Source organism: Homo sapiens, chromosome 3 (genome assembly GCF_000001405.40).
Source record: "Homo sapiens chromosome 3, GRCh38.p14 Primary Assembly".
Classification (NCBI taxonomy): domain Eukaryota; kingdom Metazoa; phylum Chordata; class Mammalia; order Primates; family Hominidae; genus Homo; species Homo sapiens.
Genome location: NC_000003.12, coordinates 136,884,632 through 136,908,765, shown reverse-complemented (window position 1 = coordinate 136,908,765; position 24,134 = coordinate 136,884,632). Strand labels below are relative to the sequence as shown.

Below are 24,134 nucleotides of genomic sequence, written 5' to 3'. Positions count from 1 at the left end.
GTCTACTTTTAATATCTTTTCTCTTCTTCCTAAGAGCTACCAATTTTGAGTAAGGGACATGGCAACCACAGTAAAAAATATATATTGTCAGTCTCCTTTGGAGTTAGATGTCACCACATTGGCAGTAATCAGTCGCAGTTCACCTCCTTTAACAGGTGGGACAACCTATCCCTGTTTCTTGTTTTACTCAGTATCCACAGATTTGGTCTCCAGTTTCATGTGTGACTCTTTCAGCCCTGATGATCTTATAAGGACATGAATTCAGAACCACGTCAACCCTGTTTCCATATCCAAATGCTGGCACTGTGGCCTCACCCTCACTTTGCAAGCTGTACATCTAGTCCACTAATTCTACAGATAAATTTACCTCATTTTTTGAACAAGGCTTTATCTTTTAAAACCCTCTATCATTCCTTTGTATTTAAACCAGGCATACATGATCTGTTCTAATATTTTTAAAAACTAATTTAAAAGTACTTTAATTATTAAGACTATATGGGTCCCTGCAGCTACTGGTGAAGGAATGTTAATATGACGAAGTGATACGGTTGCGGACCTATGTACCCTAAGTAAACAGACTATTTTGCTATTATAAAGAATCTCATGCTTTTTTTCCTCCCTGAAAATCATATTTATCATTGTTTACTATAATGTATGTTTTTACTAAAATACTGAAGTACTTTTGAATGGTAAACACTTTCAATTCTACCTTTAACTACTGGACTTTCAGAAACACCATCACTACTAAGATTGAAAAAATATTCCCAAAGAGAGTAAGTGATCAAATATTAGGTTAAGGATGTTCTCTCTCTTGCTGACCATGATATTACCGGTTCCTAGCTTATTAGGTACAAAAAGATCTGGGGACTGAGGCTGACGCCACATATATAAGGATATAATACCTGTAGCACTGAGGACAATAGGTAAGATTCTATGTTCTCACTTTGTTACAGTCTGAGTCATGGACAGTATTCAATTATCAATTCATCAAAAAAACAGGAAAGGGAGGAACTTCAAGATGGCTGACTACATGCATTTGGTACTTGCCTCTTCCATGAAAAGGGAACAAAATAGTGAGGAGATAATCACACTTCAAATAGATCACCTAAGAGAGAACACTGGAATTCAGCAGGGTGGTGACGAGAAGCACTGAAAGCAAGAAAGGAGGAGGAGGCAAGACAGCCTGCTCAACCAGGATCAGCGGAGAGCTGAGAGACCTCCACTGGTCCACAGTCCCACCAGACTCTTACAATCCTAGCCATGGGAGAAGCCCTCAAGTGCTGCAGGCCCTGAGTCTAACATAAAGAGGTGCCTAGAAACCATGCAACAACATTATTCCAGAGAGAGCTCACGCTAAGTCCCACAAACCTAAGCAGGTACAGTGTACCTTCATTTTGAGAGCCCAGCCCCCACCAGACTTTGTCATGCCCGGGAACCCAACAGACCCTGCATCTCCACATCCCTGGAGACCCCATTGACATTCTCCACCTATAGCTGCTCCACAGGGTCCAAGACCAAAGCCACTGGCAGCAACTGTCTCCCTACACTGCAGCAGAGGGGGACCCGTGCATTTTCATGCACTGAGGAAAAATTCCACTGCCTGCAATAGCTGCTGCAGCAGCAGGAGCAAGGCACAAGCAAAGTATGTGACCCTGCAAGCCACCTGCCTATGAATGCTCCCACTGACAGCAACCCCACCCTTCCCGGTAACAAGGCCACAGCACAAGCCCTGCTGTTGCCACCAGAGCATTCTGATGGCAGTCTGAGGATCACTCTCCCCTGCCTACCACAGCCAGTACCTGCACGTACCAGTGGGGAGCCTAAGGACAGGCTCCTACAACCTGGCTCCATCCCTCTCAGTAACCAAGCATGCAATCCGTGGGCCTGGCGATCACCTAGCATAGACCACCACTGTTGGCACCTAAGCACTCCTCCCAGGGTCTGAGATTGGACCTATTCAACCTGCCTCTACCACCACAGCTGGCAACTAACCACACGTGCCACCTGCAAGCCTGGGGGATTGGCCTGTCCAGTCCATCACAGCCACTGCCTACACCAGCACAGACAGCTTGGGTCCTAAAGGTTATCCCACCACTGCTACTGCCATCATCCACACCATGCCCACTGCACAGAGGTTTAAAAACCTGTCAACCTGCCTGGCTCACCTGTGCCACTCCTGGTACCCAAGCAAGACACCTGGAGGCTCAAAGATTGGCTTACCTGAACCTGCTAACACTGGTGCCAGCATACACTGCCCTGAAGCCCAAGGACAGGCAATTTCAACCCACTGGTGCCACCACTGGGGCCTGAGAGCTGGCCTACTTGGCAACCCAGACCTCAGCAAAACCTTATCACAGGCCAGGCATGGTGGCTCATACCTGTAATCCTAGCACTTTGGGAGGCTGAGGCGGGAGGATCACTTGAGCTCAGGAGTTCGAGACCAGCCTGGGCAACAGAGTGAGACCTCTTTTATTGAAAGTTAAAATTTTCTTTTATAAAAAACTTTATCACAGCCTCCACTAACAACCACAATCTAAGCCACCTAAGAAATCACAGACACCACTGACAGCATTCACATTGAAAGAAAACACACAGAGACTACACTATGACACATACCTAGAATCAAAGCCAAAGTGCCATATTCAACCAACACCACAAATACATCTTCAGGAAAATGTCCTCCCCTATGAAAGACAATTCAAAAAATTAGAAGGAGCAACTGTTACACCAGAGGCACAGATACCAGTGTAAGGACACAGGAAACATGAAAAAGCAAGGAAATATGACACCGCCAAAAGACCACAATAATTCACGGGCAATACATCCCAATCAAAAAAATCTGGCCAGGTGCAGTAGCTCAGACTTGTAATTCTAGCACTTTGGGAGACTGAGGCAGGCAGACTGCTTGAGCCTAGGGGTTCAAGACCAGCCAGGGCAACATAGTGAGACCCCATCTCTAAAAAAAATACAAAAATTAACCAGGTGTGGTGGCATGCACCTGTAGTCCCAGCTACTCAGAAGCTGAGGTTGAGGGATTACCTGAGCCCAGGGAGGTCGAGGCTGCACTGAGCCATGATCACACCATTGCACTCCAGCCTGGGCAACAGAGTGAGACCCTGTCTCAGGGGGGAAAAAAAGAAATTTATGAAATCCCAGAAAAATAACTCAAATACTGATTTTAAAGAAGCCCAGTAAGATACAAGAGAATTCTGAGGCCAGACACTGTGACCCTTGTCTGTAATCCCAGCACTTTGGAAGGCTGAGGCAGGCAGATCACCTGAGGCCAGGAGTTCAAGACCAACCTGGCAGAACCCCATCTCTGTCTCAAAAAAAAAAAGATACAAGAGAATTCTGAAAAACAATACAAAAAATTCAGAAAAACAATTCAGGATATGAGGGAGAAATTTACTAAAGGAACTAGATATCACAAAGGAAAACCAGGTTGGGCACAATGGCTGATGCCTGTAATCAATCCCAGCACTTTGGGAGGCCAAGGAAGGCAAATCACTGGAGGTCAGGAGTTCAAGACAAGACTGGCTAACACAGTGAAACCCTGTCTCTGCAAAGAATACAAAAAAATTGCCGCCACACCAGGTGTGGTGGCAGGCACCTGTAGTCCCAGCTACTTCGGAGGCTGAGGCAGAAGAATCACTTGAACCTGGGAGGTGAAGGTTGCAGTTAGCTGAGATCGTGCCATAGCACTCTAGCCTGGGAAACAGAGCGAGACTCCATCTCAAAAAGAAAAAAAAAAAAAAAAAGGAAAAACCAAACAGGAATTCCAGAACTGAAGATTTCACTGAATGAAATACAAACTACGTTGGAAAGTGTCAACAACAGACTAGATTAAGCAGATAAAAGATTCTCAGAACATTAAGAAAGGCCCTTGGAAATGAGCCAGTGAGACAAAAAGTAATAATTAAAAAAAAAAAAATGAGAAAAGCCTGTGTGACATATGGAACACCATTAAGTAACCAAATATTCAAATTTTCAGTGTCTCAGGAGAAGAGAAAACAAAAATGTTAGAAAACCTGTTCAATAAAATAATAGGTAAAAATTTTCCAAGTCTAGCAACAGATTTACACATCAGATACACCAAGTTCAGGGATCTCTCAGTAAATACAAATCAAAAAGGTCTTCTTCACAGCACATTATCTTCAAACTGTCAAAAAATCAAATACACAGAATTCTAAAAATGGCAAGAAAAGCATCTAGTCACTTATAAAGGAACGCCCATCAAACTAACAGTGGAATTCTCAGCAGAAACCTTATAGGCCAGTAGAGAATGAAATGATATATTCAAAATGCTGAAAGAAGGCCAGGTACGGTGGCTCACGCCTGTAATCCTAGCACTTTGGGAGGCTGAGGCAGGTGGATCACTTGAGGCCAGGAGTTCAAGACCAGCCTGGCCAACATAGTGAAACCCTATCTCTACTAAAAATACAAAAATTAGCTGGGCACGGTGATACATTCCTGTAATCCCAGCTATTCAGGAGGCCAAAGTAGAAGAATCACTTGAACCCAGGAGGCAGAGGCTGCAGTGAGCTGAGACTGCACCACTGCACTCCAGCCTAGGTGGCAGAGCGAGACTGTCTAAAAAAATAATTTTTTTAAAAAGTGCTCAATGAAAAAAAAACTGTCAGTCAAGGATACTATACCCAGCAAAGTTATCCTTCATAAATGAGTAAGAAATAAAGTATTTCACAAACAAGCAAAAGCTGAGGGAATATATCACCACTAGACTGGCCCTAGAAGAAATGCTTAAGAAAGTCCTACATCCAGAAGCAAAAGAACACTATCTACCATCACAAAAACACAAAAAAATATAAAAACCACTGATAGACCAAACACAAACAAGGAAGAGACTCACAACTACAGAAAACCACCAAGCCAAAATAATAATTAATAAGAGACAGAGGGAATAGATGATATACTGAACAGCCATAAATCAGTTAATAAAATGACAGAAATAAGCCTTCACACATCAATAACTCTGAATGTAAACTGATCAAACTTTCCACTTAAAAGATACAGACTAATTTGGCCAGGCGCGGTGTGGCTCTCACCTACAATCCCAGCACTTTGGGAGGCTGAGGCAGGTGGATCACCTGAGGTCAGGGGTTCAAGACCAGGCTGGCCTACACGGTGAAACCCCATCTCCACTGAAAATACAAAAATTAGCCAGGCGTGGTGGCAGGTGCCTGTAATCCCAGCTACTCAGGAAGCTGAGGCAGGAGAATCGCTTGAACCCAGGAGGCAGAGGTTGCAGTAAGCCAAGACCGCACCATTGTACTCCAGTCTGGGCAACAAGAGCAAAACTCCATCTCAATTAAATAAATAAGATAGATACTGATTGAATAGATTTTTTAAAATGTTTTTAAAGCATGACCCACCTATATACTACCTACAATAAACTCATCTCACCTGTAAAGACATATAGGCTGAAATTAAGGGATGGAAAAAGATATTCCATGCAAACAGAAACCAACAGTGACTAGAAGTAGCTATACTTGTATCAAACAAAACAAACTTTAAGTCAAAAACAGTAAAAAGAGACAAAGAAGGTCATTATATAATGGTAAAGGGAAAAATTCAGGAGGAGGATTTAACAATTCCAAACATATAAGGCACCCAACACTGTAGCACCCAGATATATAAAGCAAGTATTATTAGATCTGTAAGGAGAGATAGATTCCACTACGATAATAGTTAGGGACACCAGCACCCCACTGTGAGCATTAAATGGATCATGTAGATACAAAAATTAAGAAAGCCACACTGGATTTAAACTGCATATCAGACCAAATAGACCTAACAGACATTTACAGAACATTTCATCTAACATCTTAACACTCCCTACTTCACAGGTGGATGCATATTGATTTATGTGTGTTGATTTTGTCCTGCAACTTTACTGAATTTATTTAGCAGAACTAAGTTTTTTGGTGGAGTCTAGGTTTTTCTAAATATAAGATCATATCATCAGCAAAGGGGGACAGTTTGACTTCCTCTTTTCTAATTTGGATGCCTTTTCTTTTTTTCCCTCTTGCCTGATTGGTCTGGTTAGGACTTGCAGTACTGTGTTAAATAGGAGTGATTAAAGTGGGCACCAGCACCCCACTGTGAACACATTCTTTTCATCAGCATATAGAACATTCTCCAGGATAGATCAAGTTAGGACACAAAACAAGTGTCAACAAATTTTTAAAAATTGAAATCGTATCAAGTATCTCCTCAGATAAGAATGGAATAAAACTAGAAATCAAGAATAATAGGCCAGGTGGGATAGCTCGCGCCTGTAATCTTAGCACTCTGGGAGGCCGAGGTGGGCAGATTGCCTGAGCTCAGGAGCTCGAGACCAGCCTGGGCAGCATGCTGAAACCCCGTTTTTACTAAAATACAAATCAGCCAGGCATGGTGGCATGCACCTGTAGTCCCAGCTACTCAGGAGGCTGAGGCACAAGAACTGCTTGAACCCAGGAGGCGGAGGTTGCAGTAAGCTGAGATAGTGCCACTGCACTCCAGCCTGGGTGACTAAGCAAAACTCTGTCTCAAAAAACAAAAACAAAAAAAAAAAAAAAAAACAAAGAGTTAAGAAGAACTCTGGAAACTATATAAATACACAGAAGTTAAACAACATGCTTCTGAATGACCACTGGGTCAAGGAAGACATTAAGGAAGAAATCAAAAAAATTATTGAAACAAATGAAAATCTAATACAACATACCGAAAATCTATGAGATACAGCAAAAACAGTGCAAAGAGGGAAATTTATATCAACAAATGCCTACATCAAAAAAGTAGTAAGATTTTAAAGAAACAATCTAGCAATGCACCTTAAGGAACTAGAACCAAACCCCAAATTAGTAGAAGGAAAGAAATAATAAAGATCAGAGCAGAACTAAATGAAACGACTTTTTTAAAAAGCACAAAAGAACAACAAAAAGCTGATTTTTTGAAAAGGTAAATCAATAAACCACTTGCTAGACTAATCAACATAAAAAGAGAGGACCCAAGTAAAATCAGAAAATGAAAAGAGACATTACAACTAATTCCACAGAAATACAAAAGAACATTAAAAACTATTACAAACAACGATACACTAACATACTGGAAAATTGAGAGGAAATGGATGCATTCCTAGACATAGACATATACAATCTACCAAGATTGAATCAGGAAGAAATACGAAACCTGAACAGACTGATAATGAGTAAAGACATTTAATCAGTAATAAAGTCTCCCAACAAACAGAAGTCCGGGACTGGATGGCTTCACTGCCAAATTCTACCAAACACTCATAGAAGAACTAACATCAATTCTCCCCAACTCATTCTACAAGGCCAACATTACCTTAACACCAAAACCAGACAAGGATGCAATAAAAAATATTTAAAAAAAAAAAGAAAGAAAACTACAGGCCAATATCCCTAATGAACACAGAGATAAAAATTCTCAAAATACTGGCAAACTGAATCCAACAACATTAAAAAAAAAAAAATACACCACAATGAAGTGAGATTTATCCCAGAGAGGCAAGGATGGTTACACAAATCAACAAATATGATTCATAACCTCAACAGAATAAAGGACAAAACCATATGTTCATCTCAACAGACACAGAAAAAGCACTTGATAAAATTCAGTGTCCCTTCGTGATAAAAACTCTTAACAAACTAGGCATAAAAGAAACATACTTCAACATAACAAAGGTCATATATGACAACAGCTAACATCATACTGAATGGGGAAAAGTTGAAACCCTTTCTTCTAAGAACTGGAACAAGACGAGGATGCCCACTTTAATCACTCCTATTCAACATAGTACTGCAAGTCCTAGCCAGACCAATCAGGCAAGAGGGAAAAAAAGAAAAGGCATCCAAATTAGAAAAGAGGAAGTCAAACTGTCCCTCTTTGCTGATGATATGATTTTATATCTAGAGAAACCTAGACTCCACCAAAAAACTTAGTTCTGCTAAATAAATTCAGTAAAGTTGCAGGACAAAATCAACACACATAAATCAATATGCATCCATCTGTGAAGTAGGGAGTGTTAAAAAAAAATCAACATACAAAACCTGTTTCTATATACCAATAAAACAAACTAGCTGAGAAAGAAATCAAGAAGGCATTCCCTTTTTACAATAGCTATAAAAACTACAAAACACTAGATAAAATAAAGAGGGCACAAACAAATGGAAAGACATCCCATGCTCAAGAATAAGAATTAACATCATTAAAATGACCATACTGCCATAAGCAATCTACATTTTCAATGCAATGGCTATCAAAATACCAATGTCTTTTTTCACAGAAATAGAAGAAGCAATCTTAAAATTCATATGAAACCAAAAAGGAGCCCAAACAACCAAAACAATCTTAAGCAAAAAGAATAAAACTACCTGACTTCAAAATACATTACAAGGTTACAGTAACCAAAACAGCATGGTACTGGTATAAGACAGACACATAGACTAATGGAATAAAACAGATAATTCAGAAATAAATCCACATATTTAAAGCCAACTGATTATATTAAACAACAACAACAACAAAAAAGGCTTCTGCACAGCAAAGGAAACAATGAAGAGTGAAGGGAGAGCGCCAATGTCTGGTTTTGGGTGGGAACTGAAACCACCACTACAGCCAACAAGAACTTGGGAAGTGTAAATATCAAGCCCTGAAAGGGACCATGGTGCAGCCTGTGAGATGTAAGAAACCAATCAATTACTCACAGTTTGGCGACTCTGACAGTGATGATGATTTTGTTTCTGCAACTGTACCTTTAAACAAGCAATCCAGAACATCAAAGGAGTTAAAACAAGATAAACCAAAACCTAATTTGAACAATCTCCAGAAAGAAGAAATCCCACTAGAAGAGAAAACCCCTAAAAAAAAAAGGATGGCTTTAGATGATAAGCTCTACCAGAGAGACTTAGAAGTTGCACTAGCTTTATCAGTGAAGGAACTTTCAACAGTCACCACTAATGTGCAGAAGTCTCAAGATAAAAGAGTTGAAAAACATGGCAATAGTAGAACAGAAACAGTGAGTAAGTCTCCTCGTATCTCTAATTGCAGTGTAGCCAGTGATTATTTAGATTTGGATAAGATTACTAAGAAAGACAATGGTGGTATTCAAGGGAAAAGAAAAGCAGCATCTAAAGCTGCGGTACAACAGAGGAAAATTTTTCTGGAAGGCAGTGATGGCAATAGTGCTAATAACACCAAACCAGACTTGGCAACTGGTGAAGATTCTGAGGATGATTCTGATTTTGGTGAGAGTGAGGATAATGACAAAGACTCCTCTATGAGAAAAAGTAAAGTTAAAGAAATTTAAAAAAAAAAAAAAGAAAAGAAATGAAGGTAAAATCCCCAGTAGAAAAGAAAGAGAAGGAACCTAAATCCAAATGTAATGCTTTAGTGACTTTGGTAGACTGCTCTGGCTGCCATCAAATCAGAATCTCAGTCCTCGCCAAAAGAGATTTATCTTTCTTCAGATGCCACTAGGAAACCATTACAAATATGCAGTCCTTCAGCTGAAAGCAAGAGACCTAAATGGTTCTACCAGCATCTGGAAGTAGCAGCAATAGCAGCAGCGCACTGGCAGGAGTGTCCATGAAGTCTCCAAATCAGAGTCTCTGCTGTGGCTTGTCCAGATCAGCACCAGTTAAACCTTTGCATCCAAATGCTACTAGAGGCTGACTGTGGTACCAGAGAAATGTTTGGCTGAAAGAAGCACAGCTTTACAAGGGTGTTTATATTTGATTTGTGTTTATATCTGAGGCAGGTATTGTAATACAAAGGAATCCATTACCATGTCCTATAAATGATCTCTAGCCATTTTATGATTATGTTCTCTGTAAAGCTCTTCAAGATCTCAATGAGAGCTTTGTAAGAATTATCTTCTCATGCCTTTCCTTCTGAAGAGCATATTCTATTTTCCTGTCAGTTTGACATGGAGGAAGTCCACATCACATGCCGTTCTTTTCTAGTTACATGATGTGCCTTTCCAGCTTTGTCTAGTTTATAGCACCTTAACGTTAACCGTTCAGTTTTATCTCGCACAGGGAAACATTCTCATTTCTTTCATAAGACATTTCTGAAATCTTATAAGCTACTTAAGCTATATTATCAGTTTTATTGCAAAGATGTTTTGTATTTTAGCCAAATTTTTTCATAGTAAGAGTTCAGAAGTATTTTACACACTAAAATGGTTGCTGTATTATGGCATGTGTCTCCTATTTAGATGGTTATTCTATAACAAATAGAATTTGAAGACATTTAGTGATATCTTCATTGTCAAAACCTTTAATAAAAGTGGAAATGTTTTGAAATGCTTTTTTCTTGATACCACTGCATCCACCTTTTTTTTTTTTTTTTTTTGAGAGGGAGTCTTGCCTATCACCCAGGCTGGCACGATCTCAGCTCACTGGAACCTCCGCCTCCCGGGTTCAAGTGATTCTCATGCCTCAGCCTCCCCGAATAGGTGGGATCACAGGCAATCACCACCATACCCAGCTAGTTTTTGTATTTTTAGTAGAGACAGGGTTTCACCATGTTGGCCAGGCTGGTCTTGAACTCCTGACCTCAAGTGATCTGCCTGCCTTGGCCTCCCAAAGTGCTGGGATTACAGGTGTGAGCCACTGCACCCCACCAACAGCCACCTGCTTCTGACTGTCCACACTTCATGATAAAATGAGAGTTCTGCAAAAATGTTAGCCTTTTTCTTGTAAATATAAACAAGGGAAAGCTGTTTCTTCAAATAGTAACTTTTTGTTAAGCCAGTCTTCAGAAAGTAGTTGTCAAGTATTTAGTCATCCCTATTATGATATTAGATAATACAGCTTTTTAGGAAGCTCAGATCTCAATTTACTGTGAAAAACAATTGTAATCAATATTTTATATTTATGGTGAGAATTTCAACTAGCTTCTGATCAATTTTTATAAAAAATTTTCAAATCATATTAACCATTAAAAATGTATAATACTTAGCTCAGTTCTTCTCAGTTTATGGGAACATCTATGTTAACGTGAAAATAATTAATTTAGAACTGTGATTAAAGTGAGCATTTGTCTAAAAAAAGGGTGAAGAGACAATCTGCTGAATGGGAGAAAATATGTGCGAACTATTCAACAAGTGACTAATACCTAGAATATACAAGGAACTCAAACAACAAAAACAAAAACCCCACCAATAATCCCATTTAAAAGTAGGCTAAGGACATGAATAGATATTTTTCAAAGAAAGGCATACAAATGGCAAACAAGTATATGAAAAAATGCTCAACATCACTAATCATTAAGGAAATGCAAATAAAAACCACATGAAATATCATTTCAGCCAAGTTAAAATGGCTGTTATTTAAATAACAAAAAAGGCCAGGTGTGGTAGCTCATGTCTGTAATCTCAGCACTCTGGGAGGCCAAGGCAGGCAGATCACTTGAGGTCAGGAGTTTCAGACCAACCTGGCCAACACTTTGCAAAACCCCATCTCTACTAAAAATACAAAAAATTAGCCGAGCATGGTGGCACATACCTGTAATCCCAGCTACTTGGGAGGCTGAGACAGGAGAATCACTTGAACCTGGGAGGCAGAGGTTGCAGTGAGCTAAGATCACACCACTGCACTCCAGCCTAGGTGACAGGGAGTGAGATTCTGTCTCAAAATAATAAATAAAAGTAAAACAAAAGAAAAAAAGACACTGGTAAGGATGTAGAAAAAAAGGGAACTCTTATACAGTGTTGGTAAGAATGTAAATTAGTACATACTTTTTGGAAACCTACAAAAATTTCTCAAAAAATTGAAAACAGAACTACCACAAGATCCAGCAATCCCACTACTGGGTAGTTATCCATAGGAAAAGAAATCAGTATATCAAAGGGATACCTGCACTTGCATGTTTACTGTAGCACTATTCACAATAGCAAATATATGTAATCAACCTAAGTGTTCATCAACAGATGTATGGGGCCAGGCACAGTGCTAGGTCTGTAATCCTAGCACTCTGGGAGGCCGAGGCAGGAGGACTGCTTGAGCCCAGGAATTTGAGACCAGTTTGGGCAACATAGTGAGACCCCCATTTCTACAAAAAAAATTCTTTTTTAATTAGCCAGGTGTGGTGGGGTATGCTTGTGGTCCCGGCTACTCACTGCAGTGAGCCATGATTGCACCACTGCACTCCAGCCTGGGTGACAGAGTGAGACCCTGCCTTTAAAAACAAAACAAAACAAAAACAGATTAATGGACATATGTGGCATATATACACAATGGGATACTATTTGGCCATTAAAAAATAATGAAATCATGTCATTTGCAGCAACATGGATGGACCTGGAGGTCACTATGTTAAGTGAAATAAGCCAGGACTAGAAAGACAAATATAGTATGTTCTAACTCATTCAGTGGGTTTAAAAGATGATCTCATGGAGGTAGACAGTAGAATGACAGACACCAAAATCTGAGAAGGGTACATGGGTGGTAGGTAATGAAAAGAGGTTGCTCAATGTACACAAACATATTGTTAAAGAAAAAGTATAAAAATTCTAATATTCTATAGCAGACTAAGGTGACTATAGCTAGCAAAACTGTGTATTTCAAAGTAGATAGAAGAGAGGACTTTAAATGTTCCCAACACATAGAAATGATAAATACTCAAGGTGATAGATATCCCAAATACCCTGACTTGATCATTACACATCCTATGTAACAAAATGTCACATGTGCCTCGTAAATATGTAAAATATTATATATCAATAAAAAACAAAAAACAGGAAAGGAGAAGAGAAGCAAAGAAAAAGGATGGCAAACAAAGCAAGATGACAAAAATCCAGATATATCATAATTAAAATAGATGTGAATGAATTTAACTCATTTGTAACAGAAAATAACAAAAATAACATACAGACTGGGCATGGTGGCTCATACCTGTAATCCCAGCACTTTGGGAGGCCAAGGTGGGAGGATCACCTGAGGTCAGGAGTTAGAGATCAGCCTGGTCAACATAGCAAAACCCTGTCTCTACTAAAAATGCAAAAATTAGCGGGGTGTGGTGGTACGCACCTGTAATCCCAGCTACCCGGGAGGCTGTGGCACAAGAACCACTTGAACACAGGAAGCAGAGGTTGCAGTGAGCCGAGATTGTGCCACTGCACTCCAGCCTGGGCAACAGAGTGGGACTCCATCTCAAAAAATAAATAATATAAAATAAAATAAAAACAACATACAAATTCAACTAAAGCTGTTTATAAAAGTGAACTAAAACATTAACAGAGAAAAGATGAAAAAAATAAATTCTGACAAACCTTTTTTTTAAAAAGGTGGTATGGCAATTTTTTAAAAAAGGTGGTATGGCAATTTTTTAAAAAAGGTGGTATGGCAATTTTAATGTCAGACAAAACAATTTTATTGCAACATTAAAAGGTACGGAAACATGATATATATATATAATAAAATAAACCAAAAACATACCAAAGCCTTATACACATCTATCATCAGTTTGCCTTTTCTTGAATTCCATACAAATGGAATCATATAGTTGACTACGTTAAAGTGAAAACTGTTTATCACATCCCTATTATCAAAAAAAATCAGCTTGCTGGGCGCAGTGGCTCATGCCTATAATCCTAGCACTTTGGGAGGCCGAGGCGGGTGGATAACCTGAGGTCAGGAGTTCGAGACCAGCCTGACCAAGATGGAGAAACCCTGTCTTTACTAAAAATACAAAATTAGCTGGGCTTGGTGGCACATGCCTGTAATCCCAGCTACTTGGGAGGCTGAGGCAGGAGAACTGCTTGAACCCAGGAGGTGGAGGTTGCAGTGAGCCGAGATAGTAGTGCCACTGCACTCTAGCCTGGGCAACAAGAGTGAAACTCCATCTCAAAAAAAAAACAAAACAAAACAAAAAAATCAGCTTATTTCTGAAAAATATAATTAAAAGTACTAATAAGATTTAAAAAATCTAGCAAAATTTAGGATCACAGCAGAATGCAGGAAACAACTTATCAGACACAGAACTGAGCAGGTGGCAGGATGGAATTGGAACCTTTGCATTCCAGGGGAAGTAGGATTTACACTTACTGTAGAAATGAGTTTGCCTTTCCTGCCCTGAGTGTCTCTGGACATTTACAGTACCTCAATGGTTTCAAAATGTTTGCTTTGCCAATCTGGGATTCACTTTAACATCACCTCAAACTAAAGGACTCGTTTAATGGTGAAGAAGATACAACATTAAGCACATGACCATGGCATCCACTGGTCCTACACCACATACCACATCACCTAGAAACTGTCCGGCTAACAAAATCATAAAGTGGTGCATTAAATTAAAAGCTCGATTAAGAAGTCATTCTGCTGGTCATTTGGGATGCAGCATATGCACTGAACCAATGGCTAGGGTATTATATCCCTACTACCTGAGATGCACGGGTTTAGAAACCAAGGGGTAGAGAAGTTAGATTGACTCTTCACCATCACTCCCAGTAACTCACTTATGGCATGTGGATTTCCTATCCCCACAATTTAAAATCTCTGCTGTACTAGAGATCCTGAGGGTAATGCTTCCACAGTAGGGGTTCACGGAGCCTAAAGCCACAACCACCACTTGGTCACTATGGGCTTCTCATACTGATGAACGAGCAGGCAAAGAAAGGAATAAATATACTAGCAGTGATAAATGACCCTGATTATTAGGACCTGTTGTACACAATGAGATTAGGGAGCAATCTGTCTGGAATGCAGGGTATTTCCATGCTTGCTAATAGGGTAAACAGGAAATTACAGCAACCATGGCTCAAAACAGGCAAGGCAACTAAAGGCTCAAGTCCCACAAGGATGAAAGCCGAAAGGACAGAAGCAACTTAAACCAGCTTAAATGCTGGCCCAGCATAAAGGAAATCTAGAATAGGTAGTAAAAGAAGGTAATGATGAATAGTAATTCCTGCCTCAATACCAGTTGCAGTAGCAGGTACCACTGGCTTATATCACTAACCCTTCTCAAATTTCCATGGAAGATGTCAAGACTTGGTGATGGATTAGAATCAATGTAGGGTTTAAGCCAATCTGAGCAAAGCAAGATGTAGATTCTATCAAAAGTCTCATGCCTCAAAAACAAAGATAAAGAGATGGGACTTAAACTAAAAAGCTTCTGCACAGCAAAAGACACAATCAGCAGAGTAAACAACCCACAGAGTGGGAGAAAATCTTCACCATCTATACATCTGACAAAGGACTAATATCCAGAATCTACAAGGAACTCAGATCAGCAAGAAAAAAACAATCCCATCAAAAAACAGCCTAAGGACGTGAATAGACAATTCTCAAACGAAGATACACAAATGGCCAACATATGAAAAAATGTTCAACATCACTAATTACCAGGGAAATGCAAATCAAAACCACAATGCAGTACCACCTTACTCCTGCAAGAATGGCCACAATCAAAAAATCAAAAAATAGATGTTGACGTGGATGGCGCAGATTCCTTAAAGAACTGAAAGTAGATCGAGCAATCCCACTCCTGGGTATCTACCCAGAGGAGAAGAAGTTATTATACGAAAAAGATACTTGCACATGTGTGTATATATATATATACACACACACACACACACACACACACACACACTATGGAATATTACTTAGCCATAAAAAGAAACAAAATAATGGCATTTGCAGCAGCCTGGATGGAACTGGAGACCATTATTCTAACTGAAGTAACTCAGGAATGGAAAACCAAACATCGTATATTCTCCATTCATAAGTGGGAGCAAAGCTATGAGGACGCAAAAGCATATGAATGATAAGGGTGGTGGCGTGAGGGATAAAAGACTACACATTGGGTACAGTGTACATTGCTGTTGGGTGATGGTTGTACCAATCTCAGAAATCACCACTAAAGAACTTACTCATGTAATCAAACACCATCGGTTCCCCAAAAACCTACTGAAATAAAGTATTTTAAAAGTCTCATGTATAATCTTCATGCTCTCAGTCTCTCCTTTGATTCTAGTTGTATTAATTGCCTAATGCTGTGTAACAATAGTGGCTTAAAACAACACAAATTTGTGATCTCACAGTTCTAGAGGTCATTAAGTCTAAAACAGGTCTTACAGGCCTGTTTGGCATTTGCAGCAGCCTGGATGGAGTAGATTACAAAGCTACAATCAAAGCCTGCATTCCTTCAGAAGGCTCTAGAGAAGAATCTGTTCTTTGTCTATTCCAGCTCCTAGAAGCTGCTTATATTCCTTTGCACTTGGCCACATCATCAAGATTTCTGCTTTCAGCATCACATCCCTTTCCTGGACTAATTGATTCCCTCTGATAAGGACTCTTGTGATTACCAGAGCCCACTCAGATAATCCAGGACATCAGTAGCACAGGCAACCGAAAAGAGTCAAACTGGACTTCATCAAAATTAAGATCTTTTTAACATACTTTGTATATGAAAGGACACTAAATTAATACAGTGAAAAGGTAACCCACAGAAAGGAATATTTGGAAATCACATCTGATAGGACACTGATATTCAGAATATATAAAGAACTCTTACAAGTCAAAAACAACAACAACAACAACAACAAAATCCAGCTGGGTGTGGTGACTCACACCTATAATCCCAACACTTTGGGAGGCTGAGACAGGAGGATCCCTTGAGGCTAAAAGTTCAAGACCTGCTTGGGCAACATAGTGAGATCCCCATCTCTACAAAAAATAAATAAATGAGCCAAGCAGTGGCATGCACCTATAGTCCTAGCTACTCAGGAGGCTGAGACAGGAGGATCCCTTGAGCCCAGGAGGATGAGATTGCAATGAGCCATGATTATGTCACTCTATTCCAGCCTGAGTGATACAGTGAGACTTTGTCTCTAAAAAGAATAAAATAAAAATCCAACACAAAAATGGAGTAGGAATTGAATAGACACTTCTCCAAAGAAGATATGCAAACAGTGAATAAGCACATGAAAAGATGATCATATCACCATCCCTTAGAAAAATCCAAATCAAAACCACAATAATACCACCTCACAACCATCACCATGGTTATTATTAAAAAAATGATGATGACAGAAAATAACAAGTGTTGGTGAAAATGTAGAAAATTAGAACCCTTGTGCACTGCTGGTGGGAAGATAAGATGGTACAGCCACTGTGGAAACCCATATGGCAGTTCTTCAAAAAATTAGAAACAAAATTACCATACAATCCAGCAATTTCACTTATGGATACAAACCCAAAAGAAGTAAAAGTGAGAACTCAAATAGATACTTGTACACCCATGTTCATATTGGCATTATTCACAACAGCCAAAAAGTGGAAGCAACCAAAGTGTCCATGATCAGGCCAGGCGTGGTGGCTCATGCCTGTAATCCCAGCACTTTGGGAGGCTGAGGCGGGTAGATCACCTGAGGTCAGGAGTTCAAGACCAGCCTGACCAACATGGCGAAACCCCCATCTCTATTAAAAATACAAAATTAACCAGGCATGGTGGCCCATGCCTGGAATTCCAGCTACTTGGGAGGCTGAGGCAGGAGAATTACTTGAACCCAGGAGGCGGAGGTTGCAAATGAGCCGAGATCGTGCCACTGCACTCCAGCCTGGGCAACAAGAGCAAAACTCCACCTCAGTGTCTGTCATCAGTTGAATGAGTAAACAACATGTGGTAAATATAGATTCAACGGAACAGTACCAGCCTTTGGTCGGGGAGGAACTTTAGACACATGCTACAATGTGAATAAACCTTGAAGACACTATACTCAGTGAAATAAGCCAGTCATAAAGGACAAATATTGTATGATTTATTTCACTTACACATGGTTCCAGGAGTTGTCAAATTCATAGAGATAGAAAGTAGAATGGTGATTGCCAGAGGTTGGGGGGATGGCAGACTTGGGAGTTGTTGTTTAATGGGTACAGAGTTTCAGGTGGCAAAAATGAAAAACTTATGCAAACAGGTGGTGGTGATGGCTGCATAACAATGTGAATATACTTATCACTGTACACTTAAAAATGGTTAAAATGGTAAATTTTATGTTACACATATCTTACCACAATAACTTTTTAAAAACATGTACATGAATGCCAGTAGCCATATTACTCGTAATAGGCATAAGGGAGAAAAAACTCAAATGCCTGTAAACTGATGAATGCATAAAATGTGGTATTAACTGTAAAATTACATATTATTCAGCAATAAAAAGGAATGAAGTACTGAGAGGTGACAGCGTGCTGGCAGTCCTCAAAGCCCTCGCTCGCTCTTGGCACCTCCTCTGCCTGGGCTCCCACTTTGGCAGCACTTGAGGAGCCCTTCAGCCCACCACTGCACTGTGGGAGCCCCTTTCTGGGCTGGCCAAGGGCAGAGCCTGCTCCCTCAGCTTGGGGGGAGGTGTAGAGGGAGAGGCGCCAGCGGGAACTGGGGCTGCGTGCAACGCTGGCGGGCCAGCTGGAGTTCCGGGTGGGCGTGGGCTTGGCAGGCCCCGCACGCACTCAGAGCAGCCGGCCGGCCCTGCCGGCCGGACAGTGGGGGGCTTAGCACCCGGGCCAGCAACTGAAGAGGGTGTACTGGGTCCCCCAGCAATGCCAGCCCACCAGCGCTGCGCTCGATTTCTTGCCGGGCCTCAGCTGCCTCCCCGTGGGGCAGGGCTCGGGACCTGCAGCCCGCCATGCCTGAGCCTCCCCGCCCCATGGGCTGCTGTGCCGCCCGAGCCTCCCCAACAAGGACCACCCTCTGCTCCAGGGCGCCCAATCCCATTGACCACCCAAGGGCTCAGGAGTGCGGGCACACAGCGCAGGACTGGCAGGCAGCTCCACCTGCAACCCCTGTGCGGGATCCACTGGGTGAAGCCAGCTGGGCTCCTGAGTCTGGTGGGGCCTTGGAGAATCTTTATGTCTAGCTCAGGGATTGTAAATACACCAATGGGCACTCTGTCTCTAGCTCAAGGTTTGTAAACACACCAATCAGCACCCTGCGTCTAGCTCAGGGTTTGTGAATGCACCAATCGACACTCCGTAGCTAGCTACTCTGGTGGGGACTTGGAGAACCTTTGTGTCAACATTCTGTATCTAGCTAATCTGGTGGGGAGGTGGAGAACTTTGGGCCTAGCTCAGGGATTGTAAACGCACCAATCAGTGCCCTGTCAAAACAGACCACTCAGCTCTACCAATCAGCAGCATGTGGGTGGGGCCAGATAAGAGAATAAAAGCAGGCTGCCCGAGCCAGCAGTGGCAACCCGCTCGGGTCCCCTTCCACACTGTGGAAGCTTTGTTCTTTCGCTCTTTGCAATAAATCTTGCTACTGCTTACTCTTTGGGTCCACACTGCCTTTATGAGCTGTAACACTCGCCGCGAAGGTCTACAGCTTCACTCCTGAAACCAGCGAGATCACGATTCCACCAGAAGGAAGAAACTCCGAACACATCTGAACATCAGAAGGAGCAAACTCCAGACGCGCCACCTTAACAGCTGTAACACTCACCGCGAGGGTCCGCGGCTTCATTCTTGAAGTCAGAGAGACCAAGAACCCACCAATTCCAGACACAGTACCAGTATGTGCTATAACATGGATGAACCTTAGAAACATCAAGCTGCTGGGTGCAGTGGCTCACTCCTGTAATCCTAGCTCTTTGGGAGGCAGAGATGGGAAGATCACTTGAGCGCAGGAGTTCAAAACCAGCCTGGGCAACACAGTGAGACTGTCTCTACAAAAAAAAAAAAAAAAAAAAAAAAAAAAAATCAAAAAATTAGCCTGGCATGGTGGCACATGCCTGCAGTCCCAGCTACTCAGGAGACTGAGGCAGGAGGATCACTTGTGCCTGGATGGCAGAGGTTGCAGTGAGCTGTGATCAAGCACTGCACTACAGTCCAAGCAACAGAGCAAACCTTGCCTCAAAAAAGAAAAAAACAAAACAAACAACAAAAAAAACATTGAACTAAGTGAAAGAAAGCGGTTACAAAGGACCACATACTATATGATTCCATGTATATGAAAGGTTCAGAATGAGCAAATGTATAGAGACAGAAGGCAGATTAATGGTTTCCTAGGACACGGAGAGGGGAGGTTAGGGGTGACAACTAATGAGTATGGCATTGCTTTGGGAGGTGATTAAAGTGTTCCAATATGGCTGGGTGCGGTGGCTCGCGAGGTCAAGAGATCAAGACCATCCTGGCCAACATGGTGAAACCCCGTCTCTACTAAAAATACAAAAAATTAGCCGGGCATGGTGGCAAGCTTCTGTAGTCCCAGCTACTGCGGAGGCTGAGGCAGGAGAATCACTTAAACCTGGGAGGCAGAGGTTGCAGTCAGCCAAGATTTTGCCACTGCACTCCACCCTGGTGACACAGCGAGACTCCGTCTCAAAAAAAAAAAAAATTCTGATATTGTGGTGATGGTTGCACAACTCTGAATATACTAAAAGCTGAATTGTATACTTTTAATGAGTGAACTGTATAGTATGTGAATCATATCTCAATAAAACCTTTTTTTAAAAACCGACAAGACTAATGACTGAATGGAATCATAAAATAAAGCAAGGAGGGCCAGGCACGGTGGCTCACACCTGTAATCTCAGCACTTTGGGAGGCCGAGGCAGGCAGATCACGAGGTCAGGAGTTTGAGACCAGCCTGGCCAACATGGCGAAACCCTGTCTCTACTAAAAATACAAAAATTAGCCAGGCGTGCTGGCAGACGCCTGTAATCCCAGCAACTTGGGAGGCTGAGGCAGGAGAATAGCTTGAACCTAGGAGTCGGAGGTTACAGTGAGCAGAGATCATGCCATTGCACTCCAGCCTGGGCGACAAGAGCAAGACTCCATCTCAAAAGAAAAAAAAAAAAAGAAAGAAAGAAAGAAAGAAAAGAAACAATAAAGGCGATGAATAAAAGATAACAAGAACCGAAACATTACAGTTTGAATTCTTGCTCTGTCATTTATCATCAGTGTGTAACACTGAGCAAGTTATCTAACCTCTCTGCTTCAGTTAACACCTACCTACAGGGTTGCTGTGAGGATTTAACAAAATAGGTAAAACAGTACAGTGCCTGAGACACAGCTGTCTTTCCCTGTCCTCTTCTCCTACCTAATGCTAAAAATTCTACCACCAATTTTATGGAAACATAAATTCAATGACAGTTGTATCTGAATTGTATGCTAAAGAAGTTATGTCTGTTCCAGGTGACAAATAACTTAAAAGTCACCAATTATATGTAACTGGCAAGGCAACTTTCAACTAATTCACTGCAAGTCGATACTAAGGCACAGGAAAATATAAACTTTATCTCTCAACTTCTTTTTCTCCTTCTCGCCTTCATTTTTAAACACTTCTTTCCTCACCTTCCTGCCCTTTTAACTTATCCTTTATTCCAAACTACCAGTCTTACTTAGGCTGCTATTTATCAGGAGAAAAGGCAACAGTAACTTTTCCATTTTATGTTAAGATAGAAAAAAAATGCTGAGCATGGCGGTGCACTCCTGTAGTCCCCGCTACTCAAGAGGATAAGGTGGGAAGATCGTTTGAGGCCAAGAGTTGGAGGCCACACAGCATTATGATGGTGCCTGTGAACAGCCACTGTACTCCAGTCTGGAAAACACAGTGAAACCTCATTTCTAAAGAAATAAAACACAATATAAAAGATAGGGGCTGGGTGCAGTGGCTCACACCTGTAATCCCAGCACTTTGGGAGGCCAAAGCAGGTGGATCACCTGAGGTCAGGAGTTCGAGACCAGCCTGGCCAACATAATGAAACCCCGTCTCTACTAATAACACAAAAATTAGCCGGGCATGGTGGCACCTGCCTGTAGTCCCAGCTACTTGGGAGGCTGAGGCATAAGAATCGCTTGAACCTGGGAGGCGGAGGTTGCAGTGAGATGAGATTGTGCCATTGCATTCCAGCCTGGGCAATAAGAGCAAAACTCCGTCTCAGAAAAAAAGAAAAAGAAAGATAGGAAAAAAAAAAAAAAAAAAGACTGATCATGTAACTACAGGACAGTTCCAAACTCTGCCTAAGTAACTCATTAAAGTTCCCTAAACAAAAAATGAACGAACTTTAAAAACATGAGAATGAAAAGGCATACAAGAAAGTTTCCTTTGTGTTCACAGGTCTCTCATTTATCTGGAGACAAAACTGTATGACATCTACAGACTGTGACAGCAATTTCTTAGTACAGTTGGCCCTCTGTATCTATGGGTTCCGCATCTATGAATTCAACCAGCCGTGGATTTAAAACATTCAGGAAAAAAAAAAGCACCTGTACTAAACATATACAGACGTTTTTTCCTTGTCATTATTCCCTAAACAATATAGCATTAACTACCTAAATACCATTTACAATGTATTAGGTAATCTAGAGATGAGTTCGAGTATACAGGAGAATGTGCATAGGTTATATGTAAATAGTACCCCATTTTACACAAGAGACTCAAGCATCCTCAAATTTTGGTATCTGCAAGGAGTCTTGGAACCAACACCTCATGGATACCAAAGGACAAGTATATACTATCCATAACCAAGTTTTACTGCAAAAGAAAAAAAAAAGGATAACTATATACTACCTATAGCCAAGTTACTACCAAAAAATATATACTTTAAGTCAGGTGCTCTAAGAAATTAGTGTTAATACAATTTTATTAACCCATGCTTCCATCTTAAGTATTCCCTCATTTGACTTTAATGTTAAATGAAAATTTAGTTTCAAACTACTTTAAAGGACAATGTCTTTCAAAGGGGCACCTGCCTTATAAATGCTTCCGGAATAACATTCAGTAAAAGGATGTGGTTTAGAACAGATGAAATACCACTGTACTGCTGCTTTTGTACACGTTCAGATCAGAAAACTCCTATTAAAAACATGCCAAAATAAATAAATATTATGTCTATGGAAGCTTTTAAGTTAGCCATTCCAACTTTATAACATTCTAAAAAGAACATATCTCTTATGAAAGGTTGCTATAAAGAGCCCAGAACCTTTTCTCCCTCTACAAACCCCTTAACCTTGATGCCTAACTGTATTATCTCACTGTATTTCACTTCAGAAATATTTACTGGACAATGAGTGCACAGAGTAAGTATGCTAAGTAGTTTTAATACACTGTCATTAATCACCACAGCAAACTGATACAATCAGTATTAATATCACCATTTTTAACTGAAGAAACTAAGGCTTCAAAGGTTTAAGTACGCTGGGTGCTGTGGCTCACACCTGTAATTGCAGCACTTTCAGAGGCCAAGGTAGACGAATCACTTGAGCCCAGGAGTTGGAGGCCAGCCTGGGCAACATGGCAAAATCCTGTCTCTACAAAAAATTCAAAAATTAACCAGCCATGGTGGCATGCACCTATAGTTCCAGCTACGTAAGGAGCTGAAGAGTTATCAGGCCACTGTACTCCAGCCTAGGTGACAGAGCAAGACCCTGTCTCAAAAAAGTTAAGTAATGTGCCCTAGATTACAGCTGGAAAAGACAATTCCCTCCTTTTATAATTTCTATTATGTAAAATTTCAAACATACATTAAAGAAGAGAACAAACCCCTTAAACCCATCATGTAGCTAAAATCATCAACTCATGGCCACTTGTCCACGGCCACAATATCCATATTCTCACCCATTCCTGTTTCCTTGCTTAAGTATTTTGAAGCAAAAAACTTTTGTCTGTAAATATTTCGGTGTATACCTCTAAAAATTTATGTAAATATTTCAGTGTATACCTGAAAAAATATTTTCATCCATAAATATTTAAGTAAATATCTCTAAAACATAAGAACTTCAGCAGGCGCAGTGGCTCACACCTATAATCTCAACACTTTGGGAGGCCGAGGTGGGCAGATCACTTGAGGTCAGGAGTTCAAGACCAGCCTGACCAACGTGGTGAAAAACCATCTCTACTAAAAATACAAAAATTAGCCAGTTGTGGTGGCAGGTGCCTGTAATCCCAGCTACTTGGGAGGCTGAGGCAGGAGAATCCCTTGAACTCAAGAGGCAGAGGTTGCAGTGAGCTGAGATCAGGCCACTGCACTCCAACCTGGGCAACAGAGTGAGACTCCCTCTCAAAAAAAGAAAAAAAAAAAAGCTCAGGCATGGTGGCTCAAGCCTGCACTTTGGGAGGCCAAGGCAGAAGGATCACCTCAAGACCAGCCTGGCCAACATGATGAAACC

At 41.0% G+C, this 24,134-nt stretch overlaps 1 protein-coding gene and 1 pseudogene across 5 annotated transcripts in view; one reads left to right on the top strand and one right to left on the bottom strand.

Annotated features, from left to right (window-relative positions):
- Positions 1-24,134, bottom strand: part of NCK1 (NCK adaptor protein 1) — an 89,399-nt gene that overhangs the window by 42,841 nt on the left and 22,424 nt on the right. The gene's annotated exons all lie outside the window — the stretch shown is intronic.
- On the top strand, positions 8,642-9,990 carry RAD51AP1P1 (RAD51AP1 pseudogene 1; annotated as a pseudogene).